Source organism: Homo sapiens, chromosome 17, assembly GCF_000001405.40.
Source record: "Homo sapiens chromosome 17, GRCh38.p14 Primary Assembly".
Classification (NCBI taxonomy): domain Eukaryota; kingdom Metazoa; phylum Chordata; class Mammalia; order Primates; family Hominidae; genus Homo; species Homo sapiens.
In genome coordinates this window covers 82,592,876-82,609,745 of record NC_000017.11, presented here as the reverse complement: position 1 = coordinate 82,609,745, position 16,870 = coordinate 82,592,876, and the positions used below count along the sequence as shown (strand labels likewise).

Here is a 16,870-nt window from a genome sequence, read left to right as displayed (position 1 = left end):
TCGATGGTATCCCATAGGCCCCTTATTGTTCACTTTCCCTGCATTCTTCTTCTCTGCTGCTTAGACTGGGTAATTTCACTGACCTACCTTCAAGTTCACGGCTGCTTTCTGATGCCTGCTGAAATCCAAATTCCTTTAGTGAATTTCTTATGTTAGCTATTTTACTTTTCAGGCCTAGACTTTCTTTTTAGTCTCTTTTTATAATTTCTATTTTCTGCTATTTCCAAATGTTTCACACTGTTCATATTTCTTTCTTTTTGGGGCAGAGGGAGGGGCAGTGTCTGGCTCTACTGTTCAGGCTAAACTGCAGTGGTGTGATCACGGTGTACTGAGGCCTTAACTTCCCAGGTTCAAGCAATCTTCCCACCTGAACCTTCGGAGTAGCTGGGACCTCAGACACATGCCACCATGCCTAGCTGATTTTTTTTTTTTTTTGGTAGAGACAGAGTCCCACTATGTTGCCCAGCCTGGTCTTGAGCTCTTGGGCTCAAGCTGTCTCCCCATTTTAGCCTCCCAAAGTGCTGAGACTGTAGGCGTGAGCCACCACACCTGGCTTTGTTCTTATTTTACTTCTTTGTCCTGGTTCCCTTCAGCCCCTTGAGCATATTTAAGACAAAGTGTTTGTCTAGTAAGTCCAATTTCCAGGCTTCTTCAAGGATGGTTTCTGTCACTATGTCCCCTGCCCCAACCTCATGAATGGCTCATTGTTCTTATTCCTTTGTGTGTTTCGTTCTGTTCTGTTTTGAGACAGAGTTTCACTCTTGTCACCCAGGCTGGAGTGCAATGGCGAGGTCTCGGCTCACTGCAACCTCTGCCTCCTGGCTTCAAAGTGATTCTCCTGCCTCAGCCTCCTGAGTAGCTGGGATCACAGATGCGTGCCATCACACCTGGCTAGTTTTTGTATTTTTGGTAGAGATGGGGTTTCACCTTCTTGGCCAGGCTGGTCTTCAACTCCTGACCTCAGGTAATCCACCCACCTTGGCCTCCGAAAGTGCTGGGATTTCAGGCGTGAGCCACCACACCCAGCCTGTTTTCTATTTTTTTTTTTTTTTTTTTAATTAGAAGTGGCCAAGCATGGTGGCTCATGCTTGTAATCCCAGTACTTTGGGAGGCCAAGGCAGGAGAATAGCTTGAGTCCAGGAGTTCGAGACCATCCTGGGCAACATAGCAAGACCCGTCTCTACAAATAAAAAAAAGTTTTATTTTTTCCCCTCAATTTTGATTTCTTTTTTCAATTTTGTTGCCTGCTTGCTTTACATTTACTTTGTTGTTGTTGTTTTTGAGACGGAGTCTCGCTCTGTCACCCAGGCTGGAGTGCAGTGGTGCGATCTCAGCTCACTGCAAGCTACGCCTCCCGGGTTCACGCCATTCTCCTGCCTCAGCCTCCCAAGTAGCTGGGACTACAGGCACCCGCCACCACGCCCGGCTAATTTTTTGTATTTTTAGTAGAGACGGGGTTTCACCGTGTTAGCCAGGATGGTCTCGATCTCCTGACCTCGTGATCTGCCCACCTCGGCCTCCCCAAGTGCTGGGATTACGGGCGTGAGCCACTGCGCCCGGCCTCAGAATGCAATTTTTTTAATCTTTATTTTTGAATATTTGCAGTGTACTTTCCATTTCAGCATCCTTGTTTGTCTGTTTTTTGAGACAAGGTCTCACTCCCATTGCCCAAGCTGGAGTGTGGTGGTGCAGTCACGGCTCAGTCCAGTTTCAGCTTCCTGGGTTCAGGCGATCCTCCCGCCTGGGCCTCCTGAGTGGCTGGGACTACAGGTGCACACCACCACACTTGGTTTATTTTTAGTAGAGACAGGATTTTGCCAAGTTGCCTAGGCTGGTCTCCAACTCCTGGGCTCAAGTGAGCCTCCCACTTCGACCCCCCAAAGTGTTGGGATGAGACACTGTGCCCCGCCCTGCATTCCTAATTCAAAAATTTGAAGTCCAAAATGCTCCAATGAATATTTCCTTTGAGCATCGTGTCAACACTCAAAGTTTCGGATTTTAGATTACTGAGTTTTCAGATTAGGAATACTCAACCTGGATAAGTCAGTTTTCTTTGGCTGCTTTCCAGGTTAAAAAAAAAATGTCTTTTCTTTAGTTTATTGCCTCAACATGGTTTTCCTTGAGATGATCTTATTGGAATTCACTCACCTTCGTGAATCTTTAAAGTATTTATTAAAAAAAAAAAAAAAATATATATATATATATATACACACACACACATATATAGGCCAGGCGCGGTGGCTCACGCCTGTAATCACAGCACTTGGGGAGGCCGAGGCGGGCGGATCATGAGGTCAGGAGATCAAGACCATCCTGGCTAAGACGGTGAAACCCCGTCTCTACTAAAAATACAAAAAATTAGCCGGGCGTGGTGGTGGGTGCCTGTAGTCCCAGCTACTCCGGAGGCTGAGGCAGGAGAATCGCTTGAACCTGGGAGGCAGAGCTTGCAGTGAGCCGAGATCGTGCCACTGCACTCCAGCCTGGGCAACAGAGCGAGACTCCGTCTCAAAAAAATAAATAAATAAAAATAAATTAAAAAAATATATATATATGTATTTTTTTTTTTAAATGAGACAGTCTCGCTGTCGCCCAGGCTGGAGTGCAGTGGCGCAATCTGCGCTCACTGCAACCTCCGCCTCCTGGGCTCAAGCGATTCTCCTGCCTCAGTCTCCCGAGTAGCTGAGATTACAGGTGTGTGCCACCATGCCCGGCTAATTTTTGTATTTTTAGTAGAGATGCGGTTTCACCATGTAGGCCGGGCTGGTCTTGATCTCCTGACCTCGTGATCCACCCACCTCGGCCGCCCAAAGTGCTGGGATTACAGTCATGAGCCACCGCGCCCACCCGGACTAAAATATTTCTTTAAAAAAAATTGTATACGTTGTTTCTCTGTTTTATAGGAATCTAGTGACATACACAGTAGACCCTTCAATCTTGTCCTACAAGTCCCAGTTCATTTTTGTTTCCAAATGTTTTTCTGTTTATTCACTGAATTTTTTCATTTCTTTGATTCAAGAGCATTTGCCCTTATTTCACAGAGCATGGTTATAATAACTGTTCTTTATCTGATATTCCCAATATTTGGGTCATGTGAGAGTTGGCATTCGGTCTTTTCACTTTAGGGCAGAGATTTTTCTGGCTCTTTTTACGTTTAGTAATTTTGTATTCTAGACATTCGGCATACCTTGAGACTCCCAAGTCCATGAAACCCTCTGCAGGATGCTGAGTTGTGTCTCAGCAGGCAAGTAACCCAGTTATGTTCTGATTGCATGTGCCAGCCTGCCTCCTGGAGCTGTGACTCTGGTGTCAGGCTAGTCTTCCAAGTCTGTGTCGTGCTGTTCACCCAGGGGCCAGTCTACACAGGAGTTGAGCTCAAATAGCCTTTGCTGTTTTCCCCACGTCAGTGCCATTCATGTGGAGCTTTAGGGGGTCTCTTAACTCCTCTGCTGTGTCCTTTGACTTAAAAGCCCAGGTTTCAGCCTCTCTGTGCTGTTCCCATTCCTATGACTAGGTCCAGCTTGGGGCCAAAGTGGAGCAGGGATTTCCCTCATGCTCTTTGGACTACAGGGGCCTGTTTTCCAATTCCTCTCGTCAGCGTGAAGGGTTCTGTGGGAGTCGCCAGCGTGAAGGGCTCTGTGGGAGTCGCCAGTGTCTGCAGGGCTGCTGCTTGCAGGAGTTTCCCACGACCGTCTCTGCCCAGGATGAGAGGGAAGCGGGCTTCTCTTGGAGATTTTAATGTTCATCCCTAATGTGCAGTTCGGATAGACCGCCCCCGACTAGGCCCAGCAACGGACTAGGCTCAGCAATGGGAGGGGAAAACCCAGGAAAAACCCATCACACCGGTCCTTGTTCTGGCTCTAGTCTGCCTGCTGTTCTGTATTATATACGACTGACTTTCCATAGGACTGAGATAGTTGCTCTGTTTGTTAGGTCCACAGTTAGTCATAACCCCTAGGAGACACAGGTGGAGGAGTCCACTGGAATCTTTGTAGCCAGTTTAGTCATCAGAGGTCACTTGAGACCCACTCTGAATTGTAATTTTGTGTTGCTGTGGACATAGCTCAGAAAGGGGGCAACAAACAGTGACAATTTCCCAGCACCCATCAACGCAGCCCGGGTGCACTGCAGACGCAGACCTGGCAGAAACAAATTACAAATGACTGCTTCACTTTGCTGGAAGAGGCAGTCTCGCAGGGCGTGATAAACAGTTCTTTTATGCCAGTATGAACTGTTTTAAATTAGGGGATCAGTGTAAGGAATAAAACAAACACTCCGTTATGAACTCTCTGTCCGTGAACATCATTTAGCTCCCAAAGGCCTCTGTGTCATTTTCAGCACGGTTTCTTCCCTCTGCTACCCTGGGGTGAGTACTGATAATGTCATCACGATTCCAGACATTAGCGATCCACACCAGATTTTCAGGGCCTGAAGATCAAAGTGTTCCTGTGTGGGAACTTGAATACCCAAGTACCTCTTCAGAAGAGCTGCTTTTTCTTTTTTTCTGAGACGGAGTCTCGCTCTGCCGCCCAGGCTGGAGTGCAGTGGCGCAATCTCGGCTCACTGCAAACTCCACCTCCCAGGTTCACGCCATTCTCCTGCCTCAGCCTCCCGAGTAGCTGGGACTACAAGCGCCCGCCACTGCGCCCGGCTAATTTTTTTTGTATTTTTAGTAGAGATGGGATTTCACCATGTTAGCCAGGATGTTCTCAATCTCCTGACCTCATGATCTGCCCGTCTCGGCCTCCCAAAGTGCTGGGATGACAGGCATGAGCCACCGCGCCGGCCAAGAGCTGCTTTTTCATTTTCTGAGAAAATGTCCCTCAAGATGCTTTGCAGTGATCTTCATTCTCAGGTTGGAGAGAAAGTCTGCAGAAGAAATAGTGGCAGCCACAATCTCCAAGTAACTTTAAAACTCCGACATCATAGATCAATCAATCAAGACCCTGTTACCACTGCCTGTGACACGGCGCCTTTTCTACCTGCACGCTCAACCCGCTGTCCCACTGGCAGGGCCTGCAGTGCTGGTCCTCAGTGCAGCTCCCTGGTTAAGTTCTTGCCAATGCGCTAGGCCTCCGGTGTGCTCAGAAGAGAGCATGAAGTAAAAAGTCAGTCAATCAAAATGAAAATGATACTCTGCATTCCATTAAAATTAATAAAAATATTTTATTGAATTTCAGGAACTTGGTACTTTTTTAAAACTTCAAATCTTTGCACACAAATCACCACTATACTTTCTAGAATAGTGGAAGTTAGGACTTCAAGATTGTCACTTATCTCCTTGTGTCACACAGCACAGAAACCCCAAGTCCTCACACTGCCCCCACCCCCCTTCTGGCCATGACTACCAACTACTCTGTTATTCTAGCGGAGGACAATGACGGAAGTGGGTAGACGACTGAAGGAGATCAGCTGTCCACCGCGTACTCTACTAAAGTGAGAGGAGGAGCAACCGAGGATCATGCCGCACACACTCTGAGTGCACCACGTGACGTGGGTCATACGGGAGTTCCCTTTTGTTTTCTCGTTTGGTTCAGGGCAAAGCTACTGAAATTGTTCCTAGTCCCTGAGGAGCTCAGAAGTTGGGCAAAGGTCACAGCAGACTTCCTGAAAAGCAGACACTGAGGAACACAGTGGAGAGCGGGAGTTCACAGCGACGCAGCTGAGGACGACGCAGGACCTCTCCCAAAGGTGCTGCAGCTCCAGCACCAGGGGCCAGGGCTGCGGCGACAGCAGCTCAGCAACCCTTGCTGTGCTCAAGTTCTTGGGGATTCAGAGCTAAGTTCAAAATTTAGAAACAGTGCCTTAAAGACGGGCAAGAAAACCCGGTGTGGGAGTCTGCTCATCTATGGTTTGTTACTGCTCTCGCTTCGATATTCTTAAATTCCTAGGTACCAATGAAAAAGCCAAGTGAACGTGGCAGAGTGAGGAGGAGACAGGAGCGTGTGCACCTTCCATCTGTGAGAGGCACACTTCAGTCTGGGTTCAAGATGCAGAATGGTGCCTACGGCAAAAAAAAAAAAAAAAAACACCCTCCTCCCTTCTTTACCATTTGAATGGACATTTTCCTTACCTGTGATCCCAACAGAAACAGATCCAGACCTATCATGTGAAGTCCACGTTCCAGGATCAGAAGTAACCAGTTTATGGACTGAGCTTACACGGGAAAGTCTACCCCCGACTCCTTCTGGATAGTAACATACACAGCTGCATAAAAACGTCTCCAAGGGGACATACGATGCATTTGCTTGGTGTCCCAGCCAAGCTCCCCACCGGCGACCTCACTGTTCCTTAGAGCTCAAGAGCTCGTCTCCTATCAATCAGAGAACCCCATCAGCTGTGACCAACAGAGCTGGAGCCCTCTGTGGAGGGAGCTGACCCCACACACAGGACAGAGCAGAATCCTGATTATTTTACAAACTGCAAACCTTCTGAGTAAGAAGACAAAAATATACATTCCAAGGTATCTGTAAAGTGCTTGGAAGATGCAGACAGCTGCACCGAGGGGCTCTGATCCATCCACACGCTGCGCTTTGCTGCGGTCACACACACGGTCTCAGTCACGTGATGGTTTTGCTTTTATTTCTTAAACGGCTGAGTGATAATCCAGCTAGTGTGCAGTCATTTCATACCTTTCAATGGGCGTCACCGCAGTGACGCTGCCCCAGCCCCATGCTGAGGGCCGACACAATTCACGGAACAGATTCATCATATTTGGTCTTTATGTAAATAATAAATGTTTTAAAATTGCCTAAATATACCATTCTGAGCCATTTCATCCCTATTTCATCCCACCAGGAAAATACAGGTTTTTTCCTCTCTAAAAAAAAATTAAATACCAAAATAACTACATTTAAATAAATAATGTTATGATGATGACATTTAAAAGCTCAGCCATCAGGCTGACGCCCTCTCCCCATGTGCACGGCCCTCGGCCCTCGGCCGGCACACTCGGGAAGGGCCAGCGGTTTTCTTCCTGAGGAGCCGGGCGAGGAGGTGCAGGGACCTCCCACTCTCATTCCCTCACCCCCGTCCTGTCCTCATTTTCCGTAGAGGAGTCAGCCTCAGGATTGGGTTCGGTTCTGAAAGGTCAGGGACATTTCCTACCACAAAACAGGAAATGCCCCAGACGTGCCCTGCAGGACGTGGCTCGGACCCTGCTCCACCATGGCGGCCGCTCACCGAAGGTGGGGAGTAGACAGCAGGTCAGAGGCCGCCTAGAGCCGGAGGGACACCCCAAATACAAACATACCACGGAGAGACCTGGGATCTGAGTTTCAAAAGGGCCTGTGATAAAAGACTGAATCTTTTTCCAAATGAAGTAGAAATGGTTCTGTCGTTTTAAACATACACAATACTTAGGAGACTTGTTTTACTCAGAGTGGAAAATTTTGCCAGGGACAAAGTCAACACAAAGAAACAAACAACAAAAAATAGCCAGAAAGAGAACAGTTAAGTGCAGCTCGGTGAGTCCCGGCAGTTCCTTCCCGGCACTGGCTCGTCCCTGGGTTCTCAAGGTTCCATGCGGCCACAGCGTCCGTCCACCTGTCCACGCGAGCCACATGCTGAAATGGAGGTGGATAAAATTCATCAGGCAGCTGCTGTAACACGGAAATGTGCAGATGCCAGAGTAGCTTCGTCTGAACTTGAACAAGACAGACAAAAGGAAATCATTCCATAGGCTGAAAACAAAAACAAAACTACGTTGTTTCTTTGCCCCAAATGAAATCCACGGAAAGGGCCTGTGTGATTCTGAAAGTCTCAGTAGAAATGGAGTGATGTGAAATGCCCAAGACCCCATTATTTTGTAAAGAAAGGACACCTCAAAATACTCTAATTCCACATGTCTCCGCTGCCTGGTGGGTCCTGTGAGGGCGGCGGGGATGGCTCCCCCCGCGTCCTGAGGCCTAGTCTTGGGAGACCCACTCACAGCAGGCGCTGGCCGTGCCGTCCTCACACAGCGATGCCTGGTCCTCGCGGGAGGACAGAGTTTCACTCGTAGGTAGAAGCTCAGCCCAGCAGGTGCTCAGTGGAGACACCGTCTCCCAAATCAGGTTTTGTTGTGTGTGGGTTTTGTTCAAGTGTGACTTCTGTCTTTAAGGAGTGTTAAGGCCAGCTGGGTTTTGGGTTTTCAGTGCTGAGAGGTGAAGTCCAACCACAGGGCCCTGCACCCCCGAGTGCTGGCGGGAGGCCGCGTCTCCTTTTGGCACCACAGAGTTGATATCGTTAAAGAAAAGCTCTCCCGGTCGCTAGTTCTGGACACCCTTTTCCCTTACGGCTGCCGGTGGCGTGTCCACGCTCAGGGCAATGACGATGCCCTCGCCGTCTTCTGTCTTGATCCGCTTCAGCTCCGGCTGCTCCGGCTGGTCACCGTTGTGGCGCTTTGTGGGCAGGGAGGCCGATGCGGATGCGTGTGTTGCCAACATGTGCAAAGGACTCGCCGCGGCTGAAATGACACGAGGGAGTCAGAACCCCACGCTCTCACGTGAACCCTCGCGACTCAGAACCCCACGCTCTCACGTGAACCCTCGCGAGTCAGAACCCCACGCTCTCATGTGAACTCTCGCCCTCTAAGGGTCCTGCCACTCCCAGGCCCGCGGAGGCTCCCACAAGACCCCAGGGACTGGCCCACGGTGGCCAAGGGCACAGGAGCCTGGGCTGGGCCCTTGGGACCCCAAAAAACTGCAGCAAGTGAACTGCCTGATTAGCGGACATTTTTATTAACAGCTGGCATCATCTTTGTTATGTCCTATAAATAGGCTATTTTGATGTCACTGCTGGGGGAGAAAGGCTGAGTCCAGTAGTGGTTGAGGCAGACAGGAGATGGCCCTGCTGGCTCGGCGAAGGAGTGGCTGCCGCTCGCTGCTCTCCCTCATGCGGAGGCCCTGCCCTCGCCCCCCCACCACCCGCACAAGATGCTCCTGGACCATTTCCACACAGAAGGGAGCGGGGCTCCATCTGTCCCATAGGAGAGAAGCACCACAGTTTCTCATGGATGCTGCTCACCTGTGTCCTGGGTCAGTCCACAGAGGTGTGTGGGCAGAACAGAGACTGCTGGCTGCTAACGGCTGACCAGGCTGAGTTAATTCCAAAGGCCAAGCTTCCAACTAACATGCGATGGGTAATGTTATGTGCCAGCCTGGCTGAGCCACAGTGCCCAGATTTTGGTCAACCATTAATCTGGATGTTTCTGTATAGTTACTTCTTTAGATGAAATTAACATTTAAATCAGTCAGCTCTGAGTAAATCAGCTGATCGCCATGAGTGGGTGGGCCTCATCCAATCAGGTGAAGGACTAAGAAAAGACTGAGGTCCTCTGAGGGGAGCACTCTGCCCTGGATGGCCTCTGGACTCTTGAGAATCCAGCACTGACTCTTTCCCCGGGGTTCGGTCCACCCTGCAGATGCTGAGCTTGGCAGGCCCCACAACAGAGTGGGCAGATTCCACAGAATCTGTCTCCAGGCCGCCGCCTTGGCTCTGTTTCTCTGGGGCACCCTCACCTACCAGGTGCCATCAGGACCCCACCATCTCCAGCTTCCGGCACAGGCCAGTCCTCCTTGTGGGCGGCGGCATTTCTGGAAGACGCTGTCACCTCCCCAGGGGGCACTTCTTGGTGGGCCCCGTGATGCTCTGAGAAGCAGGTCCTAGGCCCCTAGGCTGCGCACACACCAGCCACTGCACTTCTCTAACCCAAGACCAACTCAGAGCACCCCAGGGTGGGAGCAGGAACACACCCCTGGGAGGCCCCAAAGCAGCTGTGCAGCAACCACTTCAGGCTGTCCCAGGAGGCTCAGAGCAGACACGCCTACAGGGCAGTACCTGAACCCAACCACAAACACAGCACACATGGTACGCTACGCCCTGGTGCCTAGAGATGTGGGAGGGGGACTTGCCCACCTGTCCGTCAAGGGCCAGCCCTCTCAGACCACAGGCCCTGGCGTGGGCAATACCCGCCTCCTACTCGCAGTCCCCTGCAGGGACGCTGGCTGGTCAGAGACCGACCTCCGCCCCCAGGTCTTCCCTAGCGGAGCGGATGTGAGTCCGGCCAGGTGCGTGGTCAGCTCCTCATGGCCAGATAGCCGGGGCAGCCACGAAGAGCGGGAGTCAACACTGGGCTCCGAAGAGACTCAAGCAGCAAACGGGGACCCAGTGACATCGGGTCAGCCGTGAGAGCCCCGTTTTAGAATTCAGGACATAGCCCTGAGGCCACAGAGGTGTGTTCCCTGGAAGCCAAACCCCTGTCAACAGTGTGGATGTGTGACTTTATCGTGTTCCCTTCTCCTTTCCACCTCTGAGCAACAGAAATAGCAGAGGACCAATTTACACATAAAACATGAACAAGAGGCCAGGTGCGGTGGCTCACGCCTGTAATCCCAGCACTTTGGAAGGCTGAGGCGAGAGGATCACCTGAGGTTACGAGTTCAAGACCAGTCTCGAACTGGCCAGCATGGTGAAACACCATCTCTACTAAAAATACAAAAACATTAGCCGGGCAAGGTGGTGGGGGCCTATAGTCCCAACTACTCGGGAGGCTGAGGCAGGAGAATCACTTGAACCCAGGAGGCGGAGGCTGCAGTGAACTGAGATCGTGCCATTGCACTCCAGTCTGGGGGACAAAGAAATTCCGTCTCAAAAAAAAAAAAAAAAAAAAGAAGCTGCTCAGCTTCCAGAAAGCACGGCTGCCACAAAGCAGGAAGCTGGGCTGAGGAAGAGGCTTGGAGCCCAACGAGAGGGCAGGGGAGACTCCAGACCTAGGGGAGGCACGGGAGGCCGCTGAGCCCACCCACGTGACCCGGAGGAGCCGTGTTAGGTCGGCACCCTCTCAGGGAGACCCCCACATTCCCTGACGTCGGTTTCCTGGCGCCTGACGGCAGGGTGGCCCCCACAGAGAGAGGCACACGCACCCAGATGCGAGTCACAGCCAGTGTCTGACAAGCACCAATACCCTGAATGAGATGAGGTCACTGCTATGGTGTGGGCATCTGTCTCCTGAAATGCTGAAACTCACTTGCCCACGCAGCCTAATTAGGAGGTGGCATCTTCAGAAGGTGACTTGACCATGAAGGCTTTGCCCTCACTAACAGCTTAATGCTGTCACCAAGGGACAGGCTCATGATTCCAGGAGTGAGTTCATTCTAAAAGGGTGAATATGCCTTCACCCCATCACCACGTGAGCACACAGGAAGAAGGCCCTTGCCAGCCTCCAGAACTGCAAGCCAATCCGTTTCTGTTCATGCTAAAGTCTTCCATCTTGGGTGTTCTGTTACGGCAGCACAACACGGCTGACTCACCCAACCCAACAGCCTCACCCTCACCAGGGCTCAAGTTGACTGGATGACCCAGAGAATACAAGAGGCGTAGGCCAGGCACAGTGGTCCACGCCTGCAACCCCAAGAGAGGCTGAGGCAGGCGGGTCCCTTGAGGCCAGGAGGCTGAGACCAGCCTGGACAACATAGCAAGACCCCGTCTCTATAAAAAATAAATAATTTTTAAAAGGACATAAAACTAGAAATGACAGACAGGAGGAATAATTTTTAAAAAGACGTAAAACTAGAAACGACAGCTAGACAGAAGGAATAAGTTTAGTGTTCTGCAGCACTGCGAGATGATGGGAGTCAACAATACGGTTTCAAACAGCCAGAAGGTTCCCAACACCTAGAAATGGTCAATGAGATGACGGATGTGCCGATCACGAGTCACATGCTTCTCAACATCACTGTGCACCCCATACACTTGCACAATTATTCTGTGTCAATTAGAGAACAGTAGTGAGAGGCCTGGAGTGAAAAGAAACTGGGAGGCCGGGCGCGGTGGCTCACGCCTGTAATCCCAGCACTTGGGGAGGTCAAGGTGGGCGGATCACCTGAGGTCAGGAGTTTGAGACCAGCCTGGCCAACGTGGTGCAACCCCGTCTCTACTAAAAATACAAAATTAGCCAGGTGTGGTGGCGGGCACCTGTAATCTCAGTTACTCAGGAGGCTGAGGCAGGAGAATTGCTTGAACCCAGGAGGCAGAGGTTGCAGTAAGCCAAGGTCATGCCACTGCATTCCAGCCTGGGCAACAAAAGCAAAACTCTGTCTCAAAAAAAAAAGAAAGAAAAGAAATGGTGACACTTAAATACTCTCATCCACCCAGCCCTGCCCTCACAGAGCCTCTGTCGCGAGGTACTCCGCCACGTGGAGACCCCACATGGAGCCCTGTAACAGCAGAGGGGCTGTGCTAACACGCCCGGCCCTGAAGCAGAGGTCTCAGCAGAGGCTCGGAGGGAGGTGGAGGGCACGCAAGGAAGACTAAAGGCAGCAGAGCCCTGGAGGTGCCGGAGCTGGGGAGGGAGCAGCCATCAGCCCTGCAGCCCCGGGGTGGGCCACAAGAGAGGGCGACCCCTCTCCTCCAGGGCAGAGAAGGAACACACACACGAGTTGGGCACATGCTCCTGATGAGGCCCACACGTGCTCTCTTGGGAAGGCACTGACTCTGTTGATCTAAAGATGCTGAATAAGGCAGAAGGGTCTGTGCAGCGAGCACTGCAAACTCTGGTTTGCACCGAGGACCACATGGTGCCAGGAAGGACCATCCTGGACAAGGAGTGTGATGTATGAGCACCTCGGGCCCACGTGACCTGTGTCGACACGGGTGTGTTACAGGGAGTCACGGCTTAGCGCGTGGGGCCTGGAGGCGACCCTGCCCCTGGGCACACCCAGAGGCGCCGCCGCCTTCACCAGCCCCTGCCCCTCACCGGCTGAACTCGTAGACAGGCTTGCTCTGTGTTCCGTGAGAGCTCTGAGCACAAGGGGCTCTCGCCACGCCTGACAACCCGGGGACTGTAACTTGGAGCAGCACTTCAGCAAGCCCGGGAGGACTACAGGAATTTCCTACCATGAAATGGAACCTGAAGTAGGTGAGAAGATGGGGAGGGGGTGGTCTGTGGAATAAAACAAACGTGAAATCAAGGAGATCGGCAGAGATCAAAGAAAGAGGGGCTCCGCCAGCTCTGCCACACACTCTGGATTCAACACCGTCCCAATCAAGACGCCAGCAGGCTTGGTGTAGGAATCCTACAGTTCACGCGGAAATGCCAAGGACCTAGAATGGCTGAAGCGATTTTTAAAAAGAACAAAGTTGGAGGAGCGACACCTCCTTAGTGGGAGACTTGATGAGGCTGCAGGAGCTGGGCAGGGAGCCCTGCCACACAGACTGCCCGCAGAAAGTGCGTCTGGAAACAGTCCCCACGTGTGCGCGGTCCCGGGGCGTGACGAGGGCACCAGGGCAACCGGTGGGGCAGGCACGTCCTGACGCCACCTCTGAGGCTCCCCCTACACCAAGCTCTGAGGCTCCCCCTACACCAAGCTCTGAGGCTCCCCCTACACCAAGCTCTGAGGGTCCCCCTACACCAAGCATGGAAAACACAGCAGGAACGATGAGAAGGGAACAAGCAGCCACCAAGAATCTGGGCAAGGAACGTGTTCCAGAATTAAGGCGTCAGCGAACAACTGCCCTAGTAACGTGAAAGAAAAAGAAGAAGGGACTCAGGCTACTGAAGGCGAAGCAGGAACTGACCTGCAGTTGGTGTGAGCTGGGCAAACCCCGTGACCACCTCAGATGCTCCTCCCTGCAATCGCGGTCGCAGTCTGTGGCCGCAGGTGTGGCCTCAACCGACTCTAATGTGTCTACAAAAAATGTGCAGACAGCCGGGGCCACTGCGGTAGGCCAGAGATGCACAGACGCGCAGTGTGACTCTGGTTTCCAGTGGCCTTTCTCCTACGCTGACTCGGAACAGCATCCACGCTGTAGGTGTCTCTGGACAACCTTCCACCTGTCGTTTCTCATCCCAGGTTCCGGGCTGCCGGAAAAGGCTTTGCTCTTGTCTCCAGAAGCACCTGCTGGTCTGTCTGGATGGGGCCTGCTGTGTCAACTGAGGCAACTCCAGTCTGAGCTGGCACATGGGGGCCTTCTGAGGCCAAGGGGCCCTGGGGAGAGGAGTGGGAAAGGACCCCAAGTCACAGGAGCCAGGTGCACTTTTAGGGCCCAGGGAATAGTGACACAGGCTTAATAACAGGGACCGACCCCACTGTTAGAGCTTTCAACGAAGAAAAACCGTGACCACATGTATAGCACTCTGTCCTCTCCAGTTCAAACACAAGGAGAAGGCTGGGCGCGGTGGCTCACACCTGTAGTCCCAGCATTTGGGGAGGCAGAGGCGAGAGAATCACTTGAACCTAGGAGTTTGAGACCAGCCTGAGCAGCACGGTAAGACCCCATCTCTACAAAAGAAAAAAAATATTAGCTGGACATGTTTGTACGTGCCTGTAGTCCTGGCTACTCAGGAGGCTGAGGCAGGAGAATCACTTGAGCCCACGAGTTCAAGGCTGCACTGAGCTGTGATCACGCCACTGCACTCCAGTCTGAGTGACAGACCCTTTCTCAAAAAACAAGACAAAAGCCGTAGAACCTGAAAACCAGGCAAGACAGGCCACTTACCTTGTGACACCTCCACTATTACCTGTCACAAGGAAAGGACGACCTAATGGGAATCTGTTTACAGAGCTGTACAAAGTCTTAGAGAAACAAGCAAATTACCCCTGCCCCACGGCACACCAAACCCTGCTGCATCCCACGTTGCCCCCATGGTTAGAACTTGCCTATCCACAAAATGCTGTCAAAGACAATGTATGCCGGCTTGCGTTTCTATTCCTCCATTTACTTACTATGTGGAGAGGGTCTCACCCTGTCTCCCAGGATGGAGTGCAGTGGGGCGATCACGGTTCACTGCAGCCTCAACCTCCCTGGCTCAAACGATCTCCCTGCCTTAGCCTCTTGGTGGCTGGGACTACAGGTGCTGCCGCCACAGCCACTTTTGTGATTTTTTGTAGACACAGAGATTCACCATGTTGTCCAGGCTGGTCTTGAACTCCTGGGCACAAGCAGTCTGCCCACCCTGGTCTTCCAAAGTGCTGGGATTGCAGGCGTGAGCCACGGCGCCCAGCTGTTCCTACTCCTTTAGGGAAAGAACTAAGTTCCTCTGCGAGTCCATCTACAGAGACGGGCTCCGCTGCTGCCTACTCCAATCTGCAGACACTCACAAGGGGACGTTCCCCACCCTGAGGGTCCTCACTGATTCAGAGGGCGGCTTTTGGAAAGATGACTGCGGAGATGCATTCACATTTTTGGCCTTCCATGCACACTAATCCTCCCCACATAAATTCCAATATTTTCAAACTGAAGTGTCTGGAGCATTTTTTTTTTTTTTTTTTTTGAGACAGTCTCGCTCTGTCGCCCAGGCGGGAGTGCAGTGGCGCGATCTCAGCTCACTGCAAGCTCCACCTCCCGGGTTCATGCCATTCTCCTGCCTCAGCCTCCCGAATAGCTGGGACTACAGGCGCCCGCCACCATGTCCAGCTAATTTTTTGTATTTTTGGTGGAGACAGGGTTTCACCGTGTTAGCCAGGATGGTCTCAATCTCCTGACCTCGTGATCCGCCCGCCTCGGCCTCCCAAAGTGCTGGGATGACAGGTGTGAGCCGCCGTGCCCGGCCTGTCTAGAGCATTTCTTAGCGGCCAACTTTTACTCCACAGGCAACCTACGTCATAACACTTGACAACACCCCAGTTGTGGGCTGTGTGGGTACTACACGCAGCAAGCCCCTCCGAGACCTCCAGGAAGCATCAGAAGACCCTATACTGTGGACAGAGACGCCGGAGCAGCTCAGACACGAGAGCAGCTGCTCCACTGCCACCGCCACAGCGATGATGGGTGCGGCTCCCGCAGAACACAGGCCCCGACCCGAGGCCTCGCACCTCCTCGTCCGCGTGGCCTGATCCCGCTGCTCTGGGGCTGTCAATCCAGTGGCGGCAGCTGCTGCTCTGCCTGGAAAGGCTCCGCTTTGAGGCTGGGTGTGAAAGACGTCCAGGGACCCTCAGACGTCACTGCCGTTTTACATGCTCACAACGCAACACCCATCGTCACTGTGGGACCAGCTAGGGATACCCACATCATCAAATCCTCACCCCAAATCTGGCTGCCAGATCCCCACCGAGGCACGCGTGAGCACCTGGCGGCCACAAGGGACCCGCAGCCTCAGCCCGGCTCCCCTGTGTCCTGCTCTGTGCCGATGCACTGCTCCCTCTGCAAGGGTCCTTGTGAGGGACATGGGACCGTAATTCCTCTGTGGGGCCGGGAGCCAGAAGGCTCGGAAGGCCCACACTCTCCCAGGTATGTGGCCTGCAGGCGTGGGGCTATAGCCGTCCAGCCAGCTGATCCTGGCACAGGCACCCGCACAGCACGCGGTGAACAGGGCTGGGCTCCGCCAGGGGGGCGCGGGGCTTCATCTACCTTCCTCTGTGCCTATCGCTCTCCTTTCCTTCCTTCCTCTTTCCCTCCCTCCCTCCCTCCCTCCTTCCTTCCTTCCAGAAACTGCTGCGTACCCTTTCAGAATAAGAGCCTGTGCCCGGTACAGGGAGACCTTCACAGGGTCTGCTTTCAGAATAAGAGCCTCTGCCTGGCACAGGGAGACCTTCACTGGGTCTGCTTTCAGAATAAGAGCCTCTGCCTGGCACAGGGAGACCTTCACTGGGTCTGCTTTCAGAATAAGAGCCTGTGCCCGGTGCAGGGAGACCTTCACGGGGTCTGCTTTCAGAATAAGAGCCTGTGCCCGGCGCAGGGAGACCTTCACTGGGTCTTTCAGAATAAGAGCCTGTGCCCGGTACAGGAAGACCTTCACGGGGTCTGCTTTCAGAATAAGAGCCTCTGCCCGGTACAGGGAGACCTTCACTGGGTCTGCTTTCAGAATAAGAGCCTGTGCCCGGCGCAGGGAGACCTTCACAGGGTCTACTTTCAGAATAAGAGCCTGTGCCCGGCACAGGGAGACCTTCACGGG

The 16,870-nt window shown here is 52.6% G+C and overlaps 1 protein-coding gene across 2 annotated transcripts in view, besides 3 other annotated features; it reads right to left on the bottom strand.

Moving 5' to 3' along the window:
• Window positions 1–5,143: 5,143 nt before the first annotated feature.
• The window catches only part of FOXK2 (forkhead box K2), an 84,871-nt gene continuing 73,144 nt past the window's right edge, over window positions 5,144–16,870 (bottom strand). The window contains exon 9 of one of the 2 annotated variants that reach the window (NM_004514.4): window positions 5,144–8,443. In NM_004514.4, the coding sequence (NP_004505.2) occupies window positions 8,247–8,443 (197 nt within the window). In that variant the 3' untranslated portion in view covers window positions 5,144–8,246. Of the gene's footprint in view, window positions 8,444–13,561; window positions 13,965–16,870 lie in introns of those variants that run through there. The other variant, XM_047435919.1, reaches the window with a different exon arrangement.
• Window positions 6,615–6,724: a silencer, noted in NCBI's record as "silent region_9219". NCBI's record gives its function as "represses an Ori minimal core promoter by ATAC-STARR-seq in GM12878 lymphoblastoid cells {active_cell/tissue: GM12878}" and the evidence as "EXISTENCE:reporter gene assay evidence [ECO:0000049][PMID:35858748]".
• Window positions 9,505–9,754: an enhancer, noted in NCBI's record as "active region_13012". NCBI's record gives its function as "activates an Ori minimal core promoter by ATAC-STARR-seq in GM12878 lymphoblastoid cells {active_cell/tissue: GM12878}" and the evidence as "EXISTENCE:reporter gene assay evidence [ECO:0000049][PMID:35858748]".
• Window positions 16,346–16,546: a silencer, noted in NCBI's record as "peak3033 fragment used in MPRA reporter construct". NCBI's record gives its function as "represses an SCP1 promoter by STARR-seq MPRAs in K562 erythroleukemia cells {active_cell/tissue: K562}" and the evidence as "EXISTENCE:reporter gene assay evidence [ECO:0000049][PMID:32103011]".